The sequence below is a fragment of the Homo sapiens genome, chromosome 19, assembly GCF_000001405.40.
Source record: "Homo sapiens chromosome 19, GRCh38.p14 Primary Assembly".
NCBI classification, from domain to species: Eukaryota; Metazoa; Chordata; class Mammalia; order Primates; family Hominidae; genus Homo; species Homo sapiens.
In genome coordinates this window covers 4,269,790-4,291,501 of record NC_000019.10, presented here as the reverse complement: position 1 = coordinate 4,291,501, position 21,712 = coordinate 4,269,790, and the positions used below count along the sequence as shown (strand labels likewise).

The 21,712-nt window shown below is 54.2% G+C and overlaps 1 protein-coding gene across 2 annotated transcripts, besides 1 other annotated feature; it reads right to left on the bottom strand.

Annotated features, from left to right (window-relative positions):
* Positions 1–779: 779 nt before the first annotated feature.
* SHD (Src homology 2 domain containing transforming protein D) lies at positions 780–12,433 on the bottom strand. Of its 2 annotated transcripts, NM_001372011.1 has the most exons (7): positions 12,418–12,433; positions 11,142–11,446; positions 8,527–8,632; positions 8,260–8,448; positions 6,598–6,721; positions 3,140–3,259; positions 780–1,055 (listed from the first exon to the last, which is right to left on the bottom strand). In NM_001372011.1, exons 2-7 carry the CDS (start codon positions 11,436–11,438, stop codon positions 869–871), a joined length of 1,023 nt encoding a protein of 340 aa, NP_001358940.1. In that variant the 5' UTR covers positions 11,439–11,446; positions 12,418–12,433; the 3' UTR covers positions 780–868. The 2 variants fall into 2 exon arrangements, with proteins under 2 accessions (NP_001358940.1, NP_064594.3); NM_020209.4 differs by lacking the exon at positions 12,418–12,433 and having other exon boundaries at positions 11,142–12,236.
* Positions 6,843–6,902: a silencer, noted in NCBI's record as "silent region_9883". NCBI's record gives its function as "represses an Ori minimal core promoter by ATAC-STARR-seq in GM12878 lymphoblastoid cells {active_cell/tissue: GM12878}" and the evidence as "EXISTENCE:reporter gene assay evidence [ECO:0000049][PMID:35858748]".
* Positions 12,434–21,712: the final 9,279 nt, after the last annotated feature.

Below are 21,712 nucleotides of genomic sequence, written 5' to 3'. Positions count from 1 at the left end.
ATGGTGTTTACCAGCCCCCCAGGTCTCCTGCCTGCCTGGCCTGTCACCTTGAAGTGACACCAGCTAGGCCCAGCTCCCCTCCCCTACTTCTGCTGTTTCCATGGGGACAGATGTCCTTTCTGCAGATCAAGCCACTGCTGCCGGGGGGAGGGAGCGGGGCTGGCCCGAGAGCCTGGCCCCCCTCAGTTTCTCCATCTTTGTATCTGTCGGTTTCTATGGAGTGCGGTTTTTAATCTGCTCCACGACGCTCTGTCTCTTGCTGAGTTCTGGTCCCTCCCTATGGGAGATTCAGGTTCCAATCCCAACTCTGTCCCCAAAACAAAGTGCTGGGGATGTGCTTGGCCCTCAAGGCCTCGAGGGTTTTTTATGTTTGTTTGTTCTGAGATGGAGGCGTTTCACTCTTGTTCCCCAGACTGGAGTGTAATGGTGCGATCTCAGCCCACTGCAATCTCCGCCTCCTGGGTTCAAACGATTCTCCTGCCTCAGCCTCCCGAGTATCTGGGATTAGACGCATGCGCCACCACGCCCGGTTAATTTTGTATTTTTAGTAGAGACGCGGTTTCTCCGTGTTGGTCAGGATGGTCTCGAACTCCCAACCTCAGGTGATCTGCCTGCCTCAACCTCCCAAAGTGCTGGGATTACAGGCGTGAGCCACCGTGCCTGGCCTCCTCCAGGGTTTCAATTACCCCATTATCCCCCTCTCCAGGGCTGCTTAGGGCTTTCCCGCTGGGAGTCAACGATCCCACTTCCCTCTGTAGCCCAGAAAGGACACTAAGACAAACAATAACTTATTTATTTTCTAGGCCATGGGAGGGCTTTGGGATACGATTCTGGGCCCGAGGACTCAAAAGGGGGCCGAGGGTCACTGTCAGGGGGTCTGCGTGACCACGGGGTACAGCAGAGCCAGATGCTCGGCACCCTGCACCGGCAGTGGGCGTGAACTGTAGTGGAGGACGAGCTCGGGCACGCTGGGGAAGGGCCCGCTGTGTTGGCCCAGCACCACCTGGTTCTCACGGGTCCGCGCGAACTTCAGATGCAGGAAGCCCTGGCTGCTCCTGGGCGATGAGGGAGAAAGGGACTCCTGAGCATCCCGGACCCACCCAGAAAGGCACCATCCCCAAAGCCACCTCCCACAGTGCCCAGGCCAGGTGCTCGTGTGTCTCCAGTCTCTGGTAAACAGCAGTGTGGTGGCTGGTATACTCGCTCACACCTGTAATCCCAGTGATATGGGAAGCTGAGGCTGTAGGCTTACTCCAGGCCAGGCGTTAGAGACCAGCCTGGCCAACAGAGTGAGACCCCGTCTCCACCAAAAAACATTTAAAAATTAGGCGGGTGCGGTGGCTCACGCCTGTAATCCCAGCACTTTGGGAGGCCGAGTCAGGCAGATCACTTGAGGTTACGAGTTTGAGACCAGCCTGGCCAACATGGTGAAACCCCATCTCCACTAAAAATACAAAAATTAGCCGGGCGTGGTGGCGGGTGCCTGTGGTCCCAGCTACTCAAGAGGCTGAGGCATGAGAATCCCTTGAACCTGGGAGGCAGAGGCTGCAGTGAGCTGATATTGTGCCACTGCACCCCAGCCTGGGTGACAGAGTGAGACTCTGTCTCAAAATAATAATAATAAAAAAATAGGCTGGGCGCGGTGGCTCACGCCTGTAATCACAGCACTTTGGGAGGCCAAGGCAGGCGGATCACGAGGTCAGGAGATGGAGACCATCCTGGCTAACACGGTGAAACCCCGTGTCTACTAAAAAATACAAAAAATTAGCTGGGTGTGGTGGTGGGCGCCTGTAGTCCCAGCTACTCGGGAGGCTGAGGCAGGAGAATGGCGTGAACCCGGGAGGCGGAGCTTGCAGTGAGCCGAGATCGTGCCACTATACTCCAGCCTAGGCGACAGAGCGAGACTCTGTCTCAAAAAATAAATAAATAAATAAATAAATAATAATAATAATAAGAGGCCAGGTGCAGTGACCCACACCTGCAATCCCAGCACTTTGGGAGGCCGAGTCAGGCGGATTGCTTGAGGCCAGGAGTTTGAGACCAGCCTGGCCAACATGGCGAAACCCTGTCTGTACTAAGAATACAAAAATTAGCCGGGCATGGCGGCTCACACCTGTAATCCCAGCACTTTGGGAGGCTGAGGCGGGCGGATCACGAGGTCAGGAGATCGAGACCATCCTGGCTAACACAGTGAAACCCCGTCTCTACTAAAAATACAAAAAAATTAGCCGGGCGTGGTGGTGGGCGCCTGTAGTCCCAGCTACTCGGGAGGCTGAGGCAGGAGAATGGCGTGAACCCGGGAGGCAGAGCTTGCAGTGAGCCGAGATCGCGCCACTGCACTCCAGCCTGGGTGACAGAGCTAGACTCCGTCTCAAAAAAAAAAAAAAAAAAAAAAAAATTAGCTGGGCACGGTGGTATGCGCCGAAAGTCTTCCGTCTCCCAGGTTCAAGCAATTCTCCTGCCTCAGCCTCCGAGGTAGCTGGAATTACAGGTATGCACCACTATGCCCAACTAATATTTGTATTTTTAGGAGAGAAGGGGTTTCACCATGTTGGCCAGGCTGGTCTCGAACTCCTGACCTCAAGTGATCCACCTTCCTCAGCCTTCCAAAGTGCTGGGATTACAGACGTCAGCTGCCGCGCTCAGCCCCAATCTCGTGCTTTTAGATCTTCCACTCAGACACCTAGCAGAATCTTAGGAGTGGTTTATAATTAGACAGACTTAGAATTTTAGGGACGGAAGTGCGTACAAACAGGGTCTCAACCTAAAACGCTTACAGGTACACCCTGAAATTTTGGCTTCAGATGGACACAAATTGATATACCTCCATTTTTGGACAAGGGGAGTCCAGAGGAATCTTGTGCACCTAGTTCCTTGTCTTACCCAAGGCCTGGACCTCCTCGATGCCTTCCACTCCATCTTCTTGTATACCTCCAGCGATGGTGAGCTCATTCTCAATTGCAACCAGCTAATGGCCTCCCCAGAACTCCCACCCCTTCTCCTAGAAGTCCCACCCACTGACCTGGAAGCCCTTCCCTATGGCTGCGGGAGCCACACCCTCCCCTTCCCTCTGAATTAACCCAAAAGGGTGACTCACGCAATCCTGTGACCCTTCGTCCCTGTGAGGCTGAGTTCTCACCTGAGAGACAAGGAGCAGTCCTGGGGGTTGGTCTCACTGAGCCGCACTAGGTAGCTGCCTTCCTTGCAGAGGGACAGGAGGCTCTCTGCATCCGCCCTGTTCAGGGGGCCATGAAACCACCTAGCGAGTATGGACAGATGTCTCATCAAGGGCCATTCCCTTCAAACACACTCTGGGGCCCTGTAATCCCAGCACTTTGGGAGGCTGACGCGGGCGGATTGCCTGAGGTCAGGAGTTCGAAACCAGTCTCCCTAACATGGTGAAACCCCGTTTCTACTAAAAATACAAAAAAAATTAGCCGGGCGTGGTGGCGGGTGCCTGTAATCCCAGCTACTCAGGAGGCTGAGGTAGGGAAATTGCTTGAACCAGGGAGGTGGAAGTTGTGAGCTGAGATTGCACCACTGCACTCCAGCCTGGGCAACAGAGTGAGACTCTGTCTCAAAACAAACGAACAAACAAACAAACAAACAAAAAAACACACTCTGGGATCTGTTGGGTCACAGCTGGTGCATGGGCTTGTGGCATCTGGGCAAATGAAGAAGGACAATTCCCTTGGAGTTTTCTTTTTTCTTTTTTTTTGAGACAGAGTCTTGCTCTGTTGCCAGGTTGGAGTGCAGTGGTGCAATCTTGGCTCACCACAACCTCCGCCTCCTGGGTTCAAGCGATTCTCCTGCCTCAGCCTCCAGAGTAGCTGGAACTACAGGCGCATAGCACCACACATGGCTAATTTTTGCATTTTTAGTAGAGATGGGGTTTCACCATGTTGGCCAGGCTGGTCTCGAACTCCTAACCTCAGGTTATCTGCCCTCCTTGGCCTCCCAAAGTACTGGGATTACAGGCTTGAGCCACCATGCCCGGCCAATACCCTTGGATTTTTCAAGAGGAGCCCTGGTTATCGTACACTTGACATTGATCTTCACAGCCTCCCTCATGTCCTTGTCAACTTCAACCACTTTCACAAAAGTGGTGCTTCATCTTGTACCTCACCCACCTGTCCCTTTCTGTTTTTTTCTTTTTCTTTCTTTTTTTTTGAGACAGAGTCTCGCTCTGTCACCCAGGCTGGAGTGCAGTGGCACGATCTCGGCTCACTGTAAGCTCCGCCTCCCCGGTTCACGCCATTCTCCTGCCTCAGCCTCCCAAGTAGCTGGGACTACAGGCACCCGCCACCACGCCCAGCTAATTTTTTGCATTTTTCGTAAAGACTGGGTTTCACCATGTTAGTCAGGCTGGTCTCAATCTCTAACCTTGTGATCCGCCCACCTCGGCCTCCCAAAGTGCTGGGATTACAGGCATGAGCCACTGCGCCCGGCTGCCTGGCTAATTTTTTTCTATTTTTAGTAGAGATGGGGTTTCACCATGTTGGCCTGGCTGGTCTCAAACTCTTGACCTCAGGTTATCCGCTGCTTCAGCCTCCCAAAGTGCTGGGATTACATCCATGAGCCACCTTACCCAGCCCCTTTCTTAATGTTTTTTTGTTTTATTTTGAGATGGAGTCTCACTCTGTCGCCAGGCTGGAGTACAGTGGCGTGATCTCAGCTCACTGCAACCTCCACCTCGCAGGTTCAAGAGATTCTCCTGCCTCAGCCTCCCGAGTAGCTGGGATTACAGGCACGCACCACCATGTCCGGCTAATGATGGAGTTTCACCATGTTGGCCAGGATGGTCTTGATCTCTTGACCTCATGATCTGCCCACCCCGGCCTCCCAAAGTGCTGGGATAACAGGCGTGAGCCACCGTGCCTGGCCTAATGTTTTGCTTTAATGTGCTCACAAAGGGGTTTGCAGTAGCAAGCAAGATATCAAAGACAGAGAAGCACCAGAGCCTTTGCTGTTGTTCACAATGAAAGAAATCTGAAAAGAGAATAAGCACATATGGCGTGCCTGTGGTCCCATGGAGAGGCTGAGGCTGGAGGATCGCTTGATCCCAGGAGTGCAGGGGTACAGTGAGCTGATTGTGCCACTGCACTTCAGCCTGGGCAACAGAGTGAGACCCTGTCTCAAAAGAAAGAAAGAAAGAGAGAAAGAAAGGAAGGAAGGAAGGAAGGTAGGAAGGAAGGAAGGAAGGAAGGAAGGAAAGAAAAAAAGAAAGAAAGAAAGAAAGAGAGAAAGAAAGAAAGAAAGAAAGAAAGAAAAGAAAGAAAGAAAGAAAGAAAGAAAGAAAAAGAAAGAGCGGGCCAGGTGCGGTGGCTCATGGCTGTCATCCCAACACTTTGGGAGGCCAAGGCAAGCACATCACCTGAGGTCAGGAGTTTGAGACCAGCCTGGCTAACATGGTGAAACTCTGTCTCTACTAAAAATACAAAAATTAGCCTGGTGTGGTGCCAGGAGCCTGTATTCCCAGCTACTTGGGAGGCTGAGGCAAGAGAATTGCTTGAACCAGGGAGGCGGAGGTTGCAGTGAGCTGAGATTGTGTCATTGCACTCCAGCCTGGGCGACAAGAGCGAGGCTCTGTCAAAAAAAAAAAAAAAAAAAAAGAAAGGAAAAGAAAAGAAAGAGAAGAGAAGAGAAGGAGGAAGGGCCGGGCGGGGTGGCTCACACCTGTAATCCCAGCACTTTGGGAGGCCGAGGTGGATGGATCATGAGGTCAGGAGTTCCAGACCAGCCTGGCCAACATACTGAAACTCTGTCTCTACTGAAAATACAAAAATTAGCTAGGCATGGTGGTGCACGCCTGTAGTCCCACCTACTCTGGAGGCTGAGGCATGAGAATCGCTTGAACCTGTGAGATGGAGGTTGCAGTGAGCCGAGGTCGCGTCACTGCACTCCAGCCTGGGCGACACAGCAAGACTCGGGGAGGGAGGGAGGGAGGAAGAGAAAGAAAAAAAGAGAACAATCTTCACACCCTCGGCCTCAGAGTTAAATAGCCAGTTCTGTATTGCCCACCGAAGAGATTTTAGGGGTGACTGTGACAACATGGTCTGGATTCTGGGGACTTGGGCACTCCCTCAAGGAGCGCCCAGGCTGGAAGGACACAGAGTCAGCGTCTCCCGGCTCACGTGCCACCCCAGCACGGAGCTGTGAGCCCACCAAAATCCTGCATCTCCTGGTTCCATCCCAAGAACCAAGAACTGGCTGAGAATGATTTCTGTCTCTTGGCTCTGAGGCTGTAAGCCCCACCCAAGTTAAGGAAGGAAATTGCCTTTTCTGTTTGAACCTGAGGCTCAGAGAGGTTAAGTGACTTGCCCCAGGCTACACAGCCAGGAGAGGAGAGCAGGAATGTGAACCCAGAACTTGATACCAAAGGAAAAGGGACCCCATAAGATTGTTTTGTGTCTAGCTGGGTGCCTGGCACGCAGCAGGCTCTGGAGCCCGTAAAGATTAGCTGAAGAAATAAGTGGATGAATGAATCGAAGTTCCCCCAGTTCCTCTAATCTGGGAAACGAAAAAACTTCTGCCTGATACATTGGAGTCTACAGATACGTTCAACGGGGCTCTTCCACCTTCAGCTTCCCCACTCACGGCTGTTTCTCCAGGGGCAGGGCTGGGTCCACACGCTCCGCAGGCTGGGGGCTTCTGGGCGGAGGTCTCCGGAGCTCCTTGGCTGAGCCTGGAGTCCTCTCCCACTCTGGACTGTCAAACTGCACTGGAAAGGAGATTTAGAGAGGAAAGGGTTAAGTCCAGCCTACCTTGGGGGGCGGGGCAGGGGCAAGCCAATGGAATCTCGGTAGAAAGGCAGGGCCAGCTTGGGACAACCTATCACAGCCCAGGGGCTGGGCTTAAGGCAGGGGCAGGATTGGCCACAGGTGCAACCTTTTGGCCTTCCTAAGAAATAGGTGCGGTCATTTATAAATCTGGTGGCAAGGAGCACAAGGGGCGTGGCTAGACGGGGTCGGTTCGAAGTTTCCAAAGAGGAGCCCTAGTCCCTAAACCCCTTCTGGGGTTCAGCCCAGACTGTGGCCAAGTCCTAAAACTAGAAAATCACCCCCAATCTACAGACAGGTGGACAAAGGCACTAAGCTCTAAATACCCTCCCAGTCATAAAACTTTGGGGGCAAAGTCGTGTTTGCACAACTCTTCCTGGTCCAAATTTTATTTATTTTATTTTATGTATTTGTTTATTTAGAGACAAAGTTTTGCTCTCGCTGCTCAGGCTGGAGTGCAATGGCACGATCTTGGCTCACCGCAACCTCCGCCTCCAGGTTCAAGCAATTCTCCTACCTCAGCCTCCTGAGTAGCTGGGATTACCGGCATGCACCACCACGCCCGACTAATTTTGCATTTTTAGTAAGACGGGGTTTCTCCATGTTGGTCAGGCTGGTCTCGAACTCCTGACCTCAAACGATCCACCCGCCTCGGCCTCTCAAAGTGCTGGGATTACAGGCGTGAGCCACCGTGCCCGGCAATTATTTTATTTTTTAAAACTGATTTTATCATTATCTCTTTTACAGAAGAGAAAACTAAGGTTCAGAGGCTTCTCCAAGCTCATCCAATTCAGCTGGAAATTCACCTGTAGTTTACTAGCAGCTATTAAGAAATGCTGCCCCGGGCGGGGGCGCGGTGGCTCCTGCCTGTAATCCCAGCACTTTGGGAGGCCGAGGCGGGTGGATCACGAGGTCAGAAGATCGAGACCATCCTGGCTGACATGGTGAAACCCCGTCTCTACTAAAAATACAAAAAATTAGCCGGGCGTGGTGGCGGGCGCCTGTAGTCCCAGCTACTCGGGAGGCTGAGGCAGGAGAATGGCGTGAACCCAGGAGGCGAAGCTTGCAGTGAGCCGAGATCACGCCACTGCACTCCAGCCTGGGCGACAGAGTGAGACTCCGCCTGGAAGAAAAACGAAAGAAAAATAAAATAAAATAAAATAAAATAAAGAAATGCTGCCCCTGCCACCCCCACATCCTATTCTAAAAGCAAGCCATATTCCTCTCCCCACACCACACTGAGCAGGATAAGTAGGTTCCATTCCACTCTAAAAAGTGTTTGCGTTTCCAAGGAAGATGCAGGTTGTCTTGGAAGAAAGAATTTAGGACTATCAGTCATTCACACTCTAGTGAGAATTAACAAACTACAAAAGTGACAAGTAATTGGACTCTACTTTGTAAACTGAAACAGGAGACATGACCAGATGAGGAAATGCAGGGATGGGGCATTCAGATGTCAGAGTGTGGGTCTGAGAAGCACCTGCAAACGCCCTGGAGATGTGGTCTTTCTTCCACTCCCAGGGCTGATCATACTCATCTGCTGGCCGTTCATCTTCCTGGGGCATCCGGCTCTGCCGAGGCTTCTGCCCAGAAGGGGGTCCATCTGCTGTCTCTGGGTCCTGTTCCTCATAAGGGGTGTCATAGAGCTGCACCCCTCTGCCGGGAAGTTCTAGGAGGCCAGGGACACTGTTCAGCTCCTGCTCCCATCTGGGACCCTGTCACCTTCCCCCAAGCCGTGCCTACTCACCACTCATGACCCATTGGGCATCGTAGGGCTCCATGTACCCATCATCCGGGGGTGCAGGATGAGGCTGAGCATCAAAGGGGTCTAAATACTCAGTGTCGGCTTCCAGCTGCGGAGAGAAGGAAGGGGAGAAGACAAGGACTCAGAGGGGCTTCCCTGCTAATTGACGCTGCACCTCTTGCCTGCCCACAGGGCCATCTGACACCTCTCCAAGAGTTTTTATTTTTTTATTATTTATTTATTTATTTTTATTTTTATTTTTTGAGATGGAGTCTCGCTCTGTCACCCAGGCTGGAGTGCAGTGGCGGGATCTGGGCTCACTGCAAGCTCTGCCTCCTGGGTTCACGTCATTCTCCTGCCTCAGCCTCCCGAGTAGCTGGGACTACAGGCGCCCGCCACCATGCCTGGCTAACTTTTTGTAGAGATGGGGTTTCACCGTGTTAGCCGGGATGGTCTCGATCTCCTGACCTCGTGATCTGCCCGCCTCGGGCTCCCAACGTGCTGGGATTACAGGCGTGAGCAACCGCGCCCAGCTGAGTTTTATTTATTTATTTATTTTGAGATGGAGTCTTGCTCCGTTGCCCAGGCTACAGTGCAGTGGTGTGATCTCGGCTCACTGCAACCTCCGACTCCCGGGATCAAGCAATTCTCCTGCCTCAGTCTCTGGAGTAGCTGGAATTACTGGTGCCGGCCACCAAACCTGGCTAATTTTTGCATTTTTAGTAGAGACAGGGTTTCACCATGTTGGCCAGGCTGGTCTTCAACTCCTGACCTCAGATGATCCGCCCGCTTCAGCCTCTCAAAGTGCTGGGATTACAGGCATGAGCCACAGTGCCTGGCCTCTCCAAGAGTTCTTTTTGGGGGTTGGAGAGGGAGTCTGTTACCCAAAAGTGCTCGCAGACAGCGGCTGGCTTCCCACGTCTCCCTCTGTCTTGATCCCATTTCCCCAGCACAGACACCTGCCTCCCTCCTTCGCCCACTTCAGTGCTTCTCCGTGCACTATTGTCAAGGATTTACCTGTGTTGATTTGTAATACCAACATGTAATAAGTACACCATTCCCCTTTTCCAGACAAGGAAGCCAAGGCACAGAGACAGTAAGTGTTTTGCTTAGGGACACACAGCTGGTAAGTAAGAGGCCGAGTCTGATCCCGGCTGACTGGTTTCCTCGAGTCCCTGGCTCTTCTTACCAACGTCTTACTTCTTATTTATTTATTTATTGAGACAGAGTCTCGCTCTTGTCACCCAGGCTGGAGTGCAGTGGCGCGATGTTGGCTCACTGCAACCTCCACCTCCTGGGTTCAAGCAATTCTCCTGCCTCAGCCTCAGGAGTAGCTGGGATTATAGGCGCACGCCACATCGCCTGGTTAATTTTTGCATTTTTGGTAGAGATGGGGTTTCACTGTGTTGGCCAGGCTGGTCTGGAACTCCTGACCTCAGGTGATCCACCTGCCTTGGCCTCCCAAAGTGCTGGGATTACAGGTGTGAACCACCACACCCAGCCTTTTTTTTTTTTTTTTTTTTTTTTTTTGAGACAGGGTGTTGCTCTGTCACCCAGGTTGGAGTGCAGTGGCGCAATCATGACTCACTGCAGCTTTGACCTTCTAGGCTCAAGTGATCCTCCTGCCTCAGCCTCCTGAGTAGCTGGGACTATGGTGTGCACCACCACAACTAGCTAATGTTTTGATTTTTTTTTTGTAGAGACAAGGTCTCACTCTGTTAGCCCGGGCTGGTCTCGAACTCCTGGGCTCAAGCAATCCTCCCACCTCGACCTCCCAAAGTGCTGGAATTACAGGCATGAGCTACTGCACCCGGTGGCCTGGGTTCAAATCCTAGTAAGCTAGAACCCCGTGAGACCTTAGCCAAGTCACTACCGTTCTGCGAGCCTCAGTTTCGCTTCTGTAAAACGGGAACATAGTGGTAGGAAGGGCAGCATCACCGGGAGGATATTTAGGTGCCCAGCAGGGGAGCAACTCACTCAGATCTATTTTAGGAAGATCCCACCAGGTTCCAAGAGGAAGGGGTGCTGAGGGGAGGGGGCTGGGGGACTGCAGGGGATGACCATGGAGGAGGAGGAGGACCCGGAGACCAAGCAGGGTGGTCAGAGAGGCAGAAGGACAACCAGCATTATGCATTGAAAAGGGACAGATATCCACCGGGCGCAGTGACTCACACCTGTAATCCCAGCACTTCGGGAGGCAGAGGCGGGAGGATCACCTGAGGTCAGGAGTTTGAGTCCAGCCTGGCTAACATGGTGAAACCAGTCTCTACTGAAAATACAAAAATTAGCCGGGTGTGGTGGCACACACCTGTAATCTCAGCTACTGGAGAGGCTGAGGCAGGAGAATCGCTTGAACCCCAGGAGGTGGAGGTTGCAATGAGCCGAGATCCCACCACTGCACTCCAGCCTGGGTGACAGGGGGAGACTGTCTCAAAATAAATAAATACATAAAAAGAACAGACTTCCCCAAGCAGGTGGAGGTCTGGAGGACTGGGAAGGGTCTGTCTGGTGCCCCAGTCCCCTCCTGTGATCACACATAAAATAAGCTCTCCACGATCCAGAGAGCCCATCCTGAGCCTCCCCTCCACCCAGTCTCCCCAGGCCACCCAGCCACGCACCTCCTCCCCGGGGCCGCCCAGAAGGGCCTTGGCTCTGGCCATATCCGCAGCCTCCACCTTGATGAGCCGGTGCTTGGGAGAACCATACTTGGCATCTCCGGGGTTCTTGGAGTCCCCAGGGCCCGCGGGGTCCGGCTCCAAGCGGCTCTCCGCGTCCTCATAGGGGTCCTCGAAGTCCAGGTTCTTCTGCGCGCGGTAGGCCCTCAGGATGTCGCTCTCGGTGTAGTCCGGGGTGGGCGGCTGCGGAGGGGGCCTCCGACCCCCAAAGCTCAGGTAGTCCCGTAGCCACTTGGCCATTTGGGCGCCTGTCACCCCAATCGGGCCACTGTCAGAGGGGCCCCCACATGCCCTTCTCCGGGCCCCTTTCCCCAAGGAGGAGGAGGAGGTGGAGAGGAAGGGAAGAGCAGGGAAGGATGAGAAAGATCAGGTGCGCCCTTTGGCGGGGCTCTGGATGGATAGAGGGAAGGAAAAGGTGAACGAGGGGGAGGAAAAGGAGGCGACAGAGGAGGGAGGAAGAGAAGCCCGCCTTAGCCCAGCTTGGGAAGCACCGCGGGGGAAGGGGGGACCTCGCAGGGCCCCGAACCCCGCGCGCTGGGGGCTAGGGCGAGGGGCATCCGCGGAGGCGCGCGGAGTTTCCGCGGGCAGCGCGGTTCCCTGGAGCGACACGGCCGCCCGCCGCCTCCAGGAAGCTCCGGGATCCCTTCCTGGGGTCGGGAGATCCGGGCCAGCGCCACCTGCGGACGCTCCCGGCCCCTCTCCCAGCCCGGACGCCTGGGTTCTCAGCGCAGCGGGCGGGCTCCCCAGGGGCGCGGGCGCCGCGCGCAAAGTTGGGCCGCGGAGACTGTGACCCCGGCGGGACGCATCCTTTGTCGCGCTCCTCTCGGCTCAGCGGGGAGCCCCCAGTCCCGCGGCCCCCGCCGCCTCGATCCGGCCCCAGCCACCCGCACAAAGGGAAATAAAAACCTCCTCCAATCCCCCTTCACGCTTTCGGAGAGACTTTCCCCGCCGCCGCCGGGAGGTGGGACGCTGGGGAGGGGGGCGCGCAGGAGGACGCCCCTGTTCCCACCAGCCCCGGGCCGCGTCCCGGGCAGCAGCGTCAAGGCTCCCCCACCTCCCCTCCGCCGCGTCCCCCGCCCCTCCCCTCCCCCTGCGCTCCCCTCGGAGGTGACTGAGACCTTCAGCTGTTCTGGGGAGGGAGGGAGCCGCTGCCCGCGGAGGGAAGGGGGGCTGGGGGCGGGAGTCGCCGGGGCCGAGGCCGCGGCAGCTGGACACTGACCGGGACGCCCGAGACTGGCCGCAGCGAGCGCGGAGCGCGGGAGGTGGGGAGCAGCTGGGAGTGACACTGCTGGGGAGGGGAGGGGAGAGGGAGAAGGAGGGGAGGGGGAAATTGCCCGGGAAATGGGGGACTGCACTTGACCGCCAAAAGGGGTGAAATTGACCAGCAGAGGGGGTGGGAATGACCGCCAGTGAGGGTCGAAATGGAACCGATGTCTGGCGGTGAAACGGACCGGGAGAGTGGGGATGTGCAAATTGGTGGAGAGGTCACTGGCTGAAATTGATATTGGAGCAGCAGAAGGAAGAGGGGGGCAAAGGAAGGGTGGGTGCGGATCGGGCTTCCCCTCCCCCAAGAGGGCTCTGCTCTGTGCCCCGCTCCCGCCCCAGAGGACTAATTGCGGGCAGGGGGAGGGTTGGGGGCAGCTGGCTTGGGGAAGGGAGATGGTATCTGTGCCTGGCGCCTGTCCTCTGCATCTGTCCTTTTGTGGCTTCTGGGGGCGGGGTGGGGGGGAGCGGTGGCGGGAAGAGGGGCAGAAGTGAGAGGGGTCTGGCCTGAACTGGCTGCCTGTTGTCAGCTGTCGTTGTCTGAGGGTGAGGGCACTGAGAGGTTTGGGGGGTGGGAGAGGAAAAGGGAGCCACTGGCCAATTTTCCAGTGCAGAACCGTTTTTTTTCTTTCCCCATAAGGGGGCTTGCCCAGTTCCTCCTAATGAGGGGAGTGAGAGAGGGGTGGTCAGGAAGGATGGGACCCCAGATTCTCTCCTCTTGTGGCCAGCCCCCTGGTCAGGCACAGGTCATAGCTTGGAGAGCACAGTTGGAGGACAAGACAGAAGTCAGAACCAACACTGCTATGACTGGGGCCTCCTGGCAGCCCGGCGGGGCTGAGGGCAGGGTCTGTCACTCCCTGAGTCTTGGTTTTCCTTATTTGAAAGATGTGGTTTCTAACAGGAAATCCCAGACAGCTCTAGGAAGGATTCCAGGAGGGACCGAGCTATCACCTGGCTTCCTCATTTTATGGATGGGGAAACCGAGGCACAGAGATGGGAGGGACTTGTTCAGAGCCACTCCACAGCTGATTCTGCCTGCACATCGCCGTGGGGCCTGGCCTAGGGTGGCACTGGAGTCTCTCTTTTTATTTTTTTGAGACGGAGCCTTGCTCTGTCCTCCAGGCTGGAGTGCCGTGTTGCGATCTCAGCTCACTGAAACCTCCACCTCCCAGGTCCAACCAATTCTCCTGCCTCAGCCTCCTGAGTAGCTGGGATTACTGCCACCACGCCCAGCTAATTTTTATATAATTTTATATTTTTAGTAGAGATGGGGTTTCACCACATTGGCCAGGCTGGTCTGGAACTCCTGACCTCAGGTGATCTGCCGGCCTCGGCCTCCCAAAATGCTCTTCATGGAATCGGTTCTGCAACTCCTCTCCACGATGAGCTCCATTATCCAGATGGGAAAACTGAGGCCTGGAGCCAACAAGGCAAAGCCCCTGAAGGATGCAGGCGTCTAGACCCTTCTGTTCCTCCCCTTCCCTGCACTGGCTGTGTCCCCCAACACAGACCTGTTGAACTCCTTCCTCCCTCCTGAAGTGCATGGCCACCCCCGCTTCCCCCCACCCTTTCAGATCAGCGACAAGGCTGCGTCCCTGGGGGCGGCCAGGGAGCACAGCGGGTAATTGTCCTGCTTTCTGTCAGCCGCAAGGCAATTCCGGGCCACGGGGATGAGCTGTTGACAGATCTCATCAAATCCAAGTCGTCTCCCTGCCGGATAAAACTAGATGTCTGAGGTATAAATATTTGAAAGGGGCCTTCTAATTACAATCTGTGTCAGGAATAGCAATTAGAGGCCCCGGGGCCGGAATCAAACGGCATTTGACTTTCCTGTGCTTTGGAGCTGGCTTCTCCTGGGGCTGCACCCCGACCCTACCCCAAGGAGGGGAGTGGGGAGAGGCTGGCAGGGAGAGGCAGGAGGATTAGGTAGAAGAGAAAGAGATCCAGGCTAGGGGTCCAGTCACCTTCCCCTGTGACCTTGAATCAGCCACGTAACCTTGTGAGATTTGGATTTTTCTTTTCTCCCTTTTTTTTTTTTTTTTGAGACAGGGTCTCTCGCTCTGTTGCCCAGGCTGGAGATGCAATCACAGCTCACTGCAGCCTCACATTCAACATCCTGGGCTCAAATGATCCTCCCATCTCAGCCTCCTGGTAGCTAGGACCACAGGTGCATACCACAAAACCCGGCTTTTTTTTTGCTTTTTTTTTTTTCTTACGCAGAGTCTCACTTTGTTGCCCGGGCCTGGAGTGCAGTGGTGCGATCTCGGCTCACTGCAAGCTCCGCCTCCCGGGTTCACACCATTCTCCTGCCTCAGCCTCCCGAGTAGCTGGGACTACAGGCACCCGCCACCATGCCCGGCTACTTTTTTGTATTTTTAGTAGAGATGGGGTTTCACTGTTAGCCAGGATGGTCTCGATCTCCTGACCTTGTGATCCTCCCGCCTCAGCCTCCCAAAGTGCTGGGATTACAGGCGTGAGCCACCGAGTCCGGCCGCTTTTTTTTTTTGAGGCCGAGTCTTGCTCTGTCGCCCAGGCTAAAGTGCAGTGGCACAATTTCGGCTCACCGCAAGCTCCGCCTCCCAGGTTCAAGCGATTCTCCTGCCGCAGCCTCCCAAGTAACTGGGATTACAGACGCCCGCCACCACACCCAGCTAATTTTTATATTTTTAGTAGAGATGGTGTTCCACCATGTTGGCCAGGGTGCTCTCAAACTCCTGACCTCGTGATCCGCCCACCTTGGCGCCCCCAAAGTGCTGAGATTACAGGAGTGAGCTGCCATACACGGCCTTGTTGCTTTTTTTTTTTTTAAAGATACAATTCACATTGGCTGGGTGCAGTGACTCACACCTATAATCCCAGCACTTTGGGAGGCTGAGGTGGGCAGATGACCTGAGGTCAGGAGCTCGAGACCAGCCTGGCCAACATGGTAAAACCCCGTCTCTACTAAAAATACAAAAATTAGCCAGGCGTGGTGGCGGGCACCTGTAATCCCAGCTACTCGGGAGGCTGAGGCAGGAGAATCACCTGAACTCGGGAGGCAGAGGTTGCAGTGAGCCAAGATTGAGCCACTGCACTCCAGCCTGGGCAACAGAGCGAGACTCCATCTCAAAAAAACAAAAAACATAACTTACATATCCTACAGTTCACCCATTTAGAGTGTACAATTCAGTGGTTTCTCCTGTGTCCACAAGGTTGTGCGACCATCACCCCTAATTCCTGAACATTTTCGTCACCTCCAAAAGAAACCTCATACCCAATTAGCTGTCACTCCCCATCTCTCCAAATCCCCAGCTCCTGGTAAACACAAATCCACTTCCTGCCTCTGTGGATGGGCCTGTCCTGGACATTTCATAGAAATGGGATCACACACTTTGTGGCCTTCTGTGTCTGGTGTTTCTCACTGAGCGTGATGTCCTCAAGCTGCGTCCATTCTGGGGCCTGTGTTTTTTGTTGTTGTTGTTGTTTGTTTGTTTGTTTTTTTGAGACGGAGCTTGCTCTGTCACCAGGCTGGAGTGCAATGGCACGATCTCAGCTCACTGCAACCCCCGCCTCCCGAGTTCAAGTGATTCTCCTGCCTCAGCCTCCCGAGTAACTGGGACTACAGGCATGTGCCACCACGCCCAGCTGATTTTTGTATTTTTAGTGGAGACAGGGTTTCACCATGTTGGCCAGGATGGTCTCGATCTCTTGACCTCATGATCCACCCGCCTCGGCCTTCCAAAGTGCTGGGATTACAGGCGTGAGCCACCGCACCTGGCCAGGCCTGTGTTTTTTAATTTTTAAAATTCTTCTAGAGGGCTGGGTGTGGTGGCTCACACCTGTAATCCCGCCACTTGCAGAGGCTGAGTCGGGTGGATCACCTGAGGTCAGGAGTTCGAGACCATCCTGCCCAACATGGTGAAACCCCGTCTCTACTAAAAATACAAAAATTAGCCAGGCTTGGTGGCAGGCACATTGTAATCCCACCTACTCAGGAGGCAGAGATAGGAGAATCGCTTGAACCTGAGAGGCAGAGGTTGCAGTGAGCCGAGATCGTGCCACTGCACTCCAGCGTGGGCAATAGAGTGAGACTCCATCTTGGAAAAAAAAAAATCTTTTTTTCTAGAATTGGGATCTTGCAATGTTGCCCAGGCTGGTCTTGAATTCCTGGCCTCAAGTGATCCTCCTGCCTCGGTCTCCCAAAGCTTTGGGATTACAGGTGAGAGCCACTGCACCCAGCCATCTTTATTTTTTTTTTTTGAGACAGAGTCTCACTCTGTTGCCTAGGCTAGAGTGCAGTGGCACAATCTTGGCCCACTGCAACTTCCGCCTCCTGGGTTCAAGCGATTCTCCTGCCTTAGCCTCCCAAGTAGCTGGGACTACAGGTGTGTGCCACTGCACTTAGCTAATTTTTTATTTTTAGTAGAGACAGGATTTCACCACATTGGCCAGGCTGGTCTTGAACTCCTGACCTCCGGTGATATGCCAGCCTTGGCCTCCCAAAGTGCTGGGATGACAGGCGTGAGCCACTGCGCCTGGCCAGCTCTGCCTTTTTTTTTTTTGAGATGGAGTTTCACTCTTGTTGCCCAGGCTGGAGTGCAGTGGCATGACCTTGGCTCACTGCAACCTCCCGCTTCCTGTTTCAAGCGATTCTCCTGCCTCAGTCTCTGGAGTAGCTGGGATTACAGGTGCATGCCACCATGCCTGGCTAAGTTTTGTACTTTTAGTAGAGACGGGGTTTCACCATGTTGGCCAGGCTGGTGTTGAACTCCTGACCTTGTGATCCGCCCGCCTTGGCCTCCCAAAGTGCTGGGATTACAGGCATGAGCCACTGTGCCTAGCCAGCTCTGTCTTTTTTTTTTTTTTTTTTTTGAGACAGAGTTTCGCTCTGTCGTCCAAGCTGGAGTGCAGTGGCGCAATCTTGGCTTCATTGTGTTAGCCAGGATGGTCTCGATCTCCTGATCTCGTGATCCGCCCGCCTCGGCCTCCCAAAGTGCTGGGATTACAGGCGTGAGCCACTGCACCTGGCCAGCTCTGCCTTTCTTAACTCACGGTCTGATGGCAGAGGCATGGCCTTGTCCACAGAAGCCCCCAGTCTGATGGAAGAGTTGCGGCTCTGACTTCAGGAGCTTCCATTTGATGGGAGAGATATGGCCCTACCTTGAGGGGTTCCCACTCTGAGGAAGGAGACGTGAACCTATCTTCAGTCTGATGGGGGAGGCAGGTTCAACCTTCAACGGTCCCCTGTCTAATGCAGGAGACATAGTCTTGACTTCCAGGGTCCCAGAGTAATGGAGGAGACATAGGCCTGCCTTCAAGAGTCCCCAGTCTGATGAGGGAGGCATAGTCCAAACTTCAAGCGTCCCCAGTCTGATGGGGGAGGTATGGTGTAAATTTCAAGGGCCCAGTCCAACACAGGAGGCATGGCCCTAACTAACTTACAAGGTCCCAGTCTGCTGGAGGAGAAGCGAGCCTTCCTTCTAGGGGCCCCTACCTGATGGGGGAGGCATGATCCAGCCCTTCCAGGGCTCCAGTCTGACACGCAGGCACAGCCCAGCTCTTGGGGTTGCAGTGGGGTGGGTGACCAAAGGCGTAGCCTCGGAGCCTGGAGCTTCATACCCAGGCCCTGTCCCTCCCTCACCCTGGAGGTCGAGGAGTCTCCCTTACCTGTAAATGGGGCAGCAACAGAGCGTGTGCCCGGGGGGTGTTTGTGGACTGAGTGGGTGGTGTCACCCCATTCCCAGATAAGGAAACAGGCTCAGGGAGCCCCAAGTTCACACTGGAACTGGCAAAAGCTGGGGAAATGGCATGGCCCCTCTTCTCCTGTAAGCCCAGGCTGGGGCGGCAGTGGGCTCCAGCAGAAGGGGCCCCCATCGCCCCTCCTCCCCATCCCTCTGATGTGCTCCAGCAGCCAGGCAGCCCCGGAGGAGTTGATGGAGATCTCAGATGAAGGCTGACAGCTCCCGAAGACAGGATGACAGACGCGGGCTGGTGGGGAACGGGTACTGTCGGCAGGGATAGGGGAAGGGCAGGCTTCAGAGGGTGAGGGTAGGGGGCCCTGAGAGGTGGGGCAGGGCAGGGAGGGGTCCCCCGCTGGTCAGGAGGGACAGAGCCCGATGCATGGCTGTGCCTGCCCCTCTACTCCCTCAGTCCTGGGAACCCCCAGGAGAGAACTGGGGGCTGAGAGCAGAATTGCCCCCAGGACACAGGGTGAGAGAACAAAGCTTCTCAGGGGAAAAAAAAAAGAAATAAAAATAAAATTCCAGTGGTGTATGAAAGAGTGGGGTGTGAGAGGGGAGGAGGTGAAACCTGGGGCTCCCTGAGCCTGTTTCCTCATTGGGGAATGGGGTGATGCCCCCTCAACCCATTTGCGAGCACCCACGATGTGCCAGCTGGTTTTGGGGTGCTGGGGTGCACCAATTTTTTTGAGATGGAGTCTCACTCTGTTGTCCAAGCTGGATGGAGTGCAATGGCATAATCTTGGCTCACTGCAACCTCTGCCTCCCGGGTTCAAGTTATTCTCCTGCCTCGGCCTCTGGAGTAGCTGGGATTACAGGCACCTGCCCCATGCCCGGCTAATTTTTGTATTTTTAGTAGAGACAGAGTTTCACCATGTTGGGCAGGCTGGTCTCAAACTCCTGACCTCAGGTGATACACCTACCTCAGCCTCTGAAAGTGCTGGGATTACAGGTGTGAACCGCTGCGCCCGGCCCGAATAAACTTCTACTGTTTATAATTTACCCAGTCTGTGGTGTTCTGTGAAAGCAGCAGCAAATGGACAAAGACACAAGCTGCAGACAAGGTCTGTGTAGGTAAGAAACTGAGAGTGTTTTCTGGCCAACAGCCATGAGGGACTGAATTCTGTCAACAACCACAAAGGTTTGGCAGCAGGTCCTTCCCCAGTTGAGCCTTCAGATGACACCCCAGCCTGGGCCTGTGTCTTTTTTTTTTTTTTTTCTTTGAGACGGGAGTCTCGCTCTGTCCCCCTGGCTGGAGTGCAGTGGTGCAATCTTGGCTCACTGCAACCTCTGCCTCCTGGGTTCAAGTGATTCTCCTGTCTCAGCCTCCCAAGTAGCTGGAATTACAGGCATGTACCACCATGCCCAACTAATTTTTGTACTTTTTTGTAGTGACAGGGTTTTGCCATGTTGGCCAGGCTGGTCTTGAACTCATGACCTCAAGTGATCCGCCCGCCTCGGCCTGTGAAAGTGGTGGGATTACAGCCATGAGCCACTGCGCCCAGCCTGGCCTCTGTCTTGATTGCATTCTTGCTAAACCTTAAAGCGGGAGACCCAATGAAACCACACCCAGCTCTATGTTGTTTTTAAGTTGTTCAGTTTTGGTATAATTTGTTATGCAGCACCAGAAAACAAACAGAGGGAGAGATGGGCAATAAACACGTTCCCAAGGCATCCCCTCTGCATCTCCTTAGAACACACTCACCTGCTTTATTTTCACCACCTTCGGTATACATTATTTATATGTTATTGTAAAAATATATAATACATAAAAGTTTTTTGGGGGCCGGGTGCGGTAGCTCACGCCTGTAATCCCAGCAGTTTGGGAGCTGAGGCGGGCGAATCACTTGAGGTCAGGAGTTCGAGACCAGCCTGGCAACATGGCAAAACCCCATCTCTACTAAAAATACAAAAATTAAGCCAGGCAGGGTGGCGCGTGCCTGTCATCCCAGCTACTCTGGAGGCTGAGGCAGGAGAATCGCTTGAACCCGGGAGGCGGAGGTTGCAGTGAGCCGAGATCCTGCCACTGCACTCCAGCGGGGGTGATAGAGTGAGATGCTGTCTCAAAAAAAAAAAAAATTAAAATTAAAATAAGAACGGGTGTTGGAAGTGGGAGTTCAACTTTGTTTCTGCCAAATGCTCAGGGAACATTTGATAAACACAGGTTCCTTCCTTCCCTCTGCCAACTCCTTCTGCTGCCCCCGCCGAGGAGGGGAACTTCCCAGCCAGAGCTTTCTACTCATAAAGCCAGTGAGTCCCATCCTTGTTGAGTATGTAGAGCGCAGCCCCTTTGAAGGCAAATTGTAGCATCTTTTTTTTTAATTAATTATTTTTTGAGATGGAATCTCACTCTGTTGCCCAGGCTGGAGTGCAGTGGCATGATCTCAGCTCACTGCAACCTCCACCTTCCAGGTTCAAGTGATCCTCCTGCCTCAGCCTACCAATTAGCTGGGATTACAGGTGCCCGCCACCACATCTGACTAATTTTTTTATTTTTAGTGGGGGTGGTGGGAGTCTCACCATGTTGGCCAGGCTGGTCTTGAACTCCTGACCTCAGGTGATCTGCCCGCCGTGGCCTCCCAAAGTGCTGGGATTACATGCGTGAGCCACCGTGCCCCACCTTTCTTTAAAAAAAGACAAATTGAGAAACGGTCTGGCCATGTTGCCCAGTCTGGACTCGACCTCCTGTCTTCAACCAACCCTCCTGCCTCAGCCCCCCAAAGTCCTGGGATTACAGGAACATGCCACAGTTCCTGTCCTGGGCCTAGCTCCCCACCCCCCTCCCCCTTTTTCAGGCAGGATCTTGGTCTCTCACCAAGGCTGGAGTGCAGTGGTACAGTTACACCTCACTGCAGCCTCAATCTCCCGGGCTCAAGTGATCCTCCCACCTCAGCCTCCCAAGTAGCTGGGATTCCAGGCCTGAGCCACCACACCCGGCTGGAATTCCATTATTTATGCCAGAGTTCAGCCTTCACCTACTGGGGACATTGGGTTCGTTCCCCATAATGTTGCTGCTAAACACAGTGTCACGACAAACCTCCTCGTGGGTGTTTCCTTATGAATGTGGGCAAATACCTCTTAGAACAGACAGCCAGAAATGGAACTGCCTACTCAAAGAAGGTTCATATTGTTCACTTTAAAAGATTCCAGGCTGGTGCAGTGTCTCACGCCTGTAATCCCTGCACTTTGGGAGGCTGAGGCAGTCAGATCACCTGAGGTCAGGAGTTCAAGACCAGCCTGGCCAAGATGGTGAGACCCGTCTCTACTAAAAACACAAAAATTAGCTGGGCGTGGTGGCAGGCACCTGTAATCCCAGCTGCTGGGGAGGCTGAGGCAGAGAATTGCTTGAACCTGGGAGGTGGAGGTTGCAGTGAGCCAAGATCACACCACTGCACTCTAGCCTGGGCAACAGAGGGAGACTCTGTCTCAAACAAACAAACAAAAAGATTGTACAGGCAGGGCACAATGGCTCAGGCCTGTAATCTTAGCACTTTGGGAGGCTGAGGCAGGCAGATCACCTGAGGTCAGGAGTTC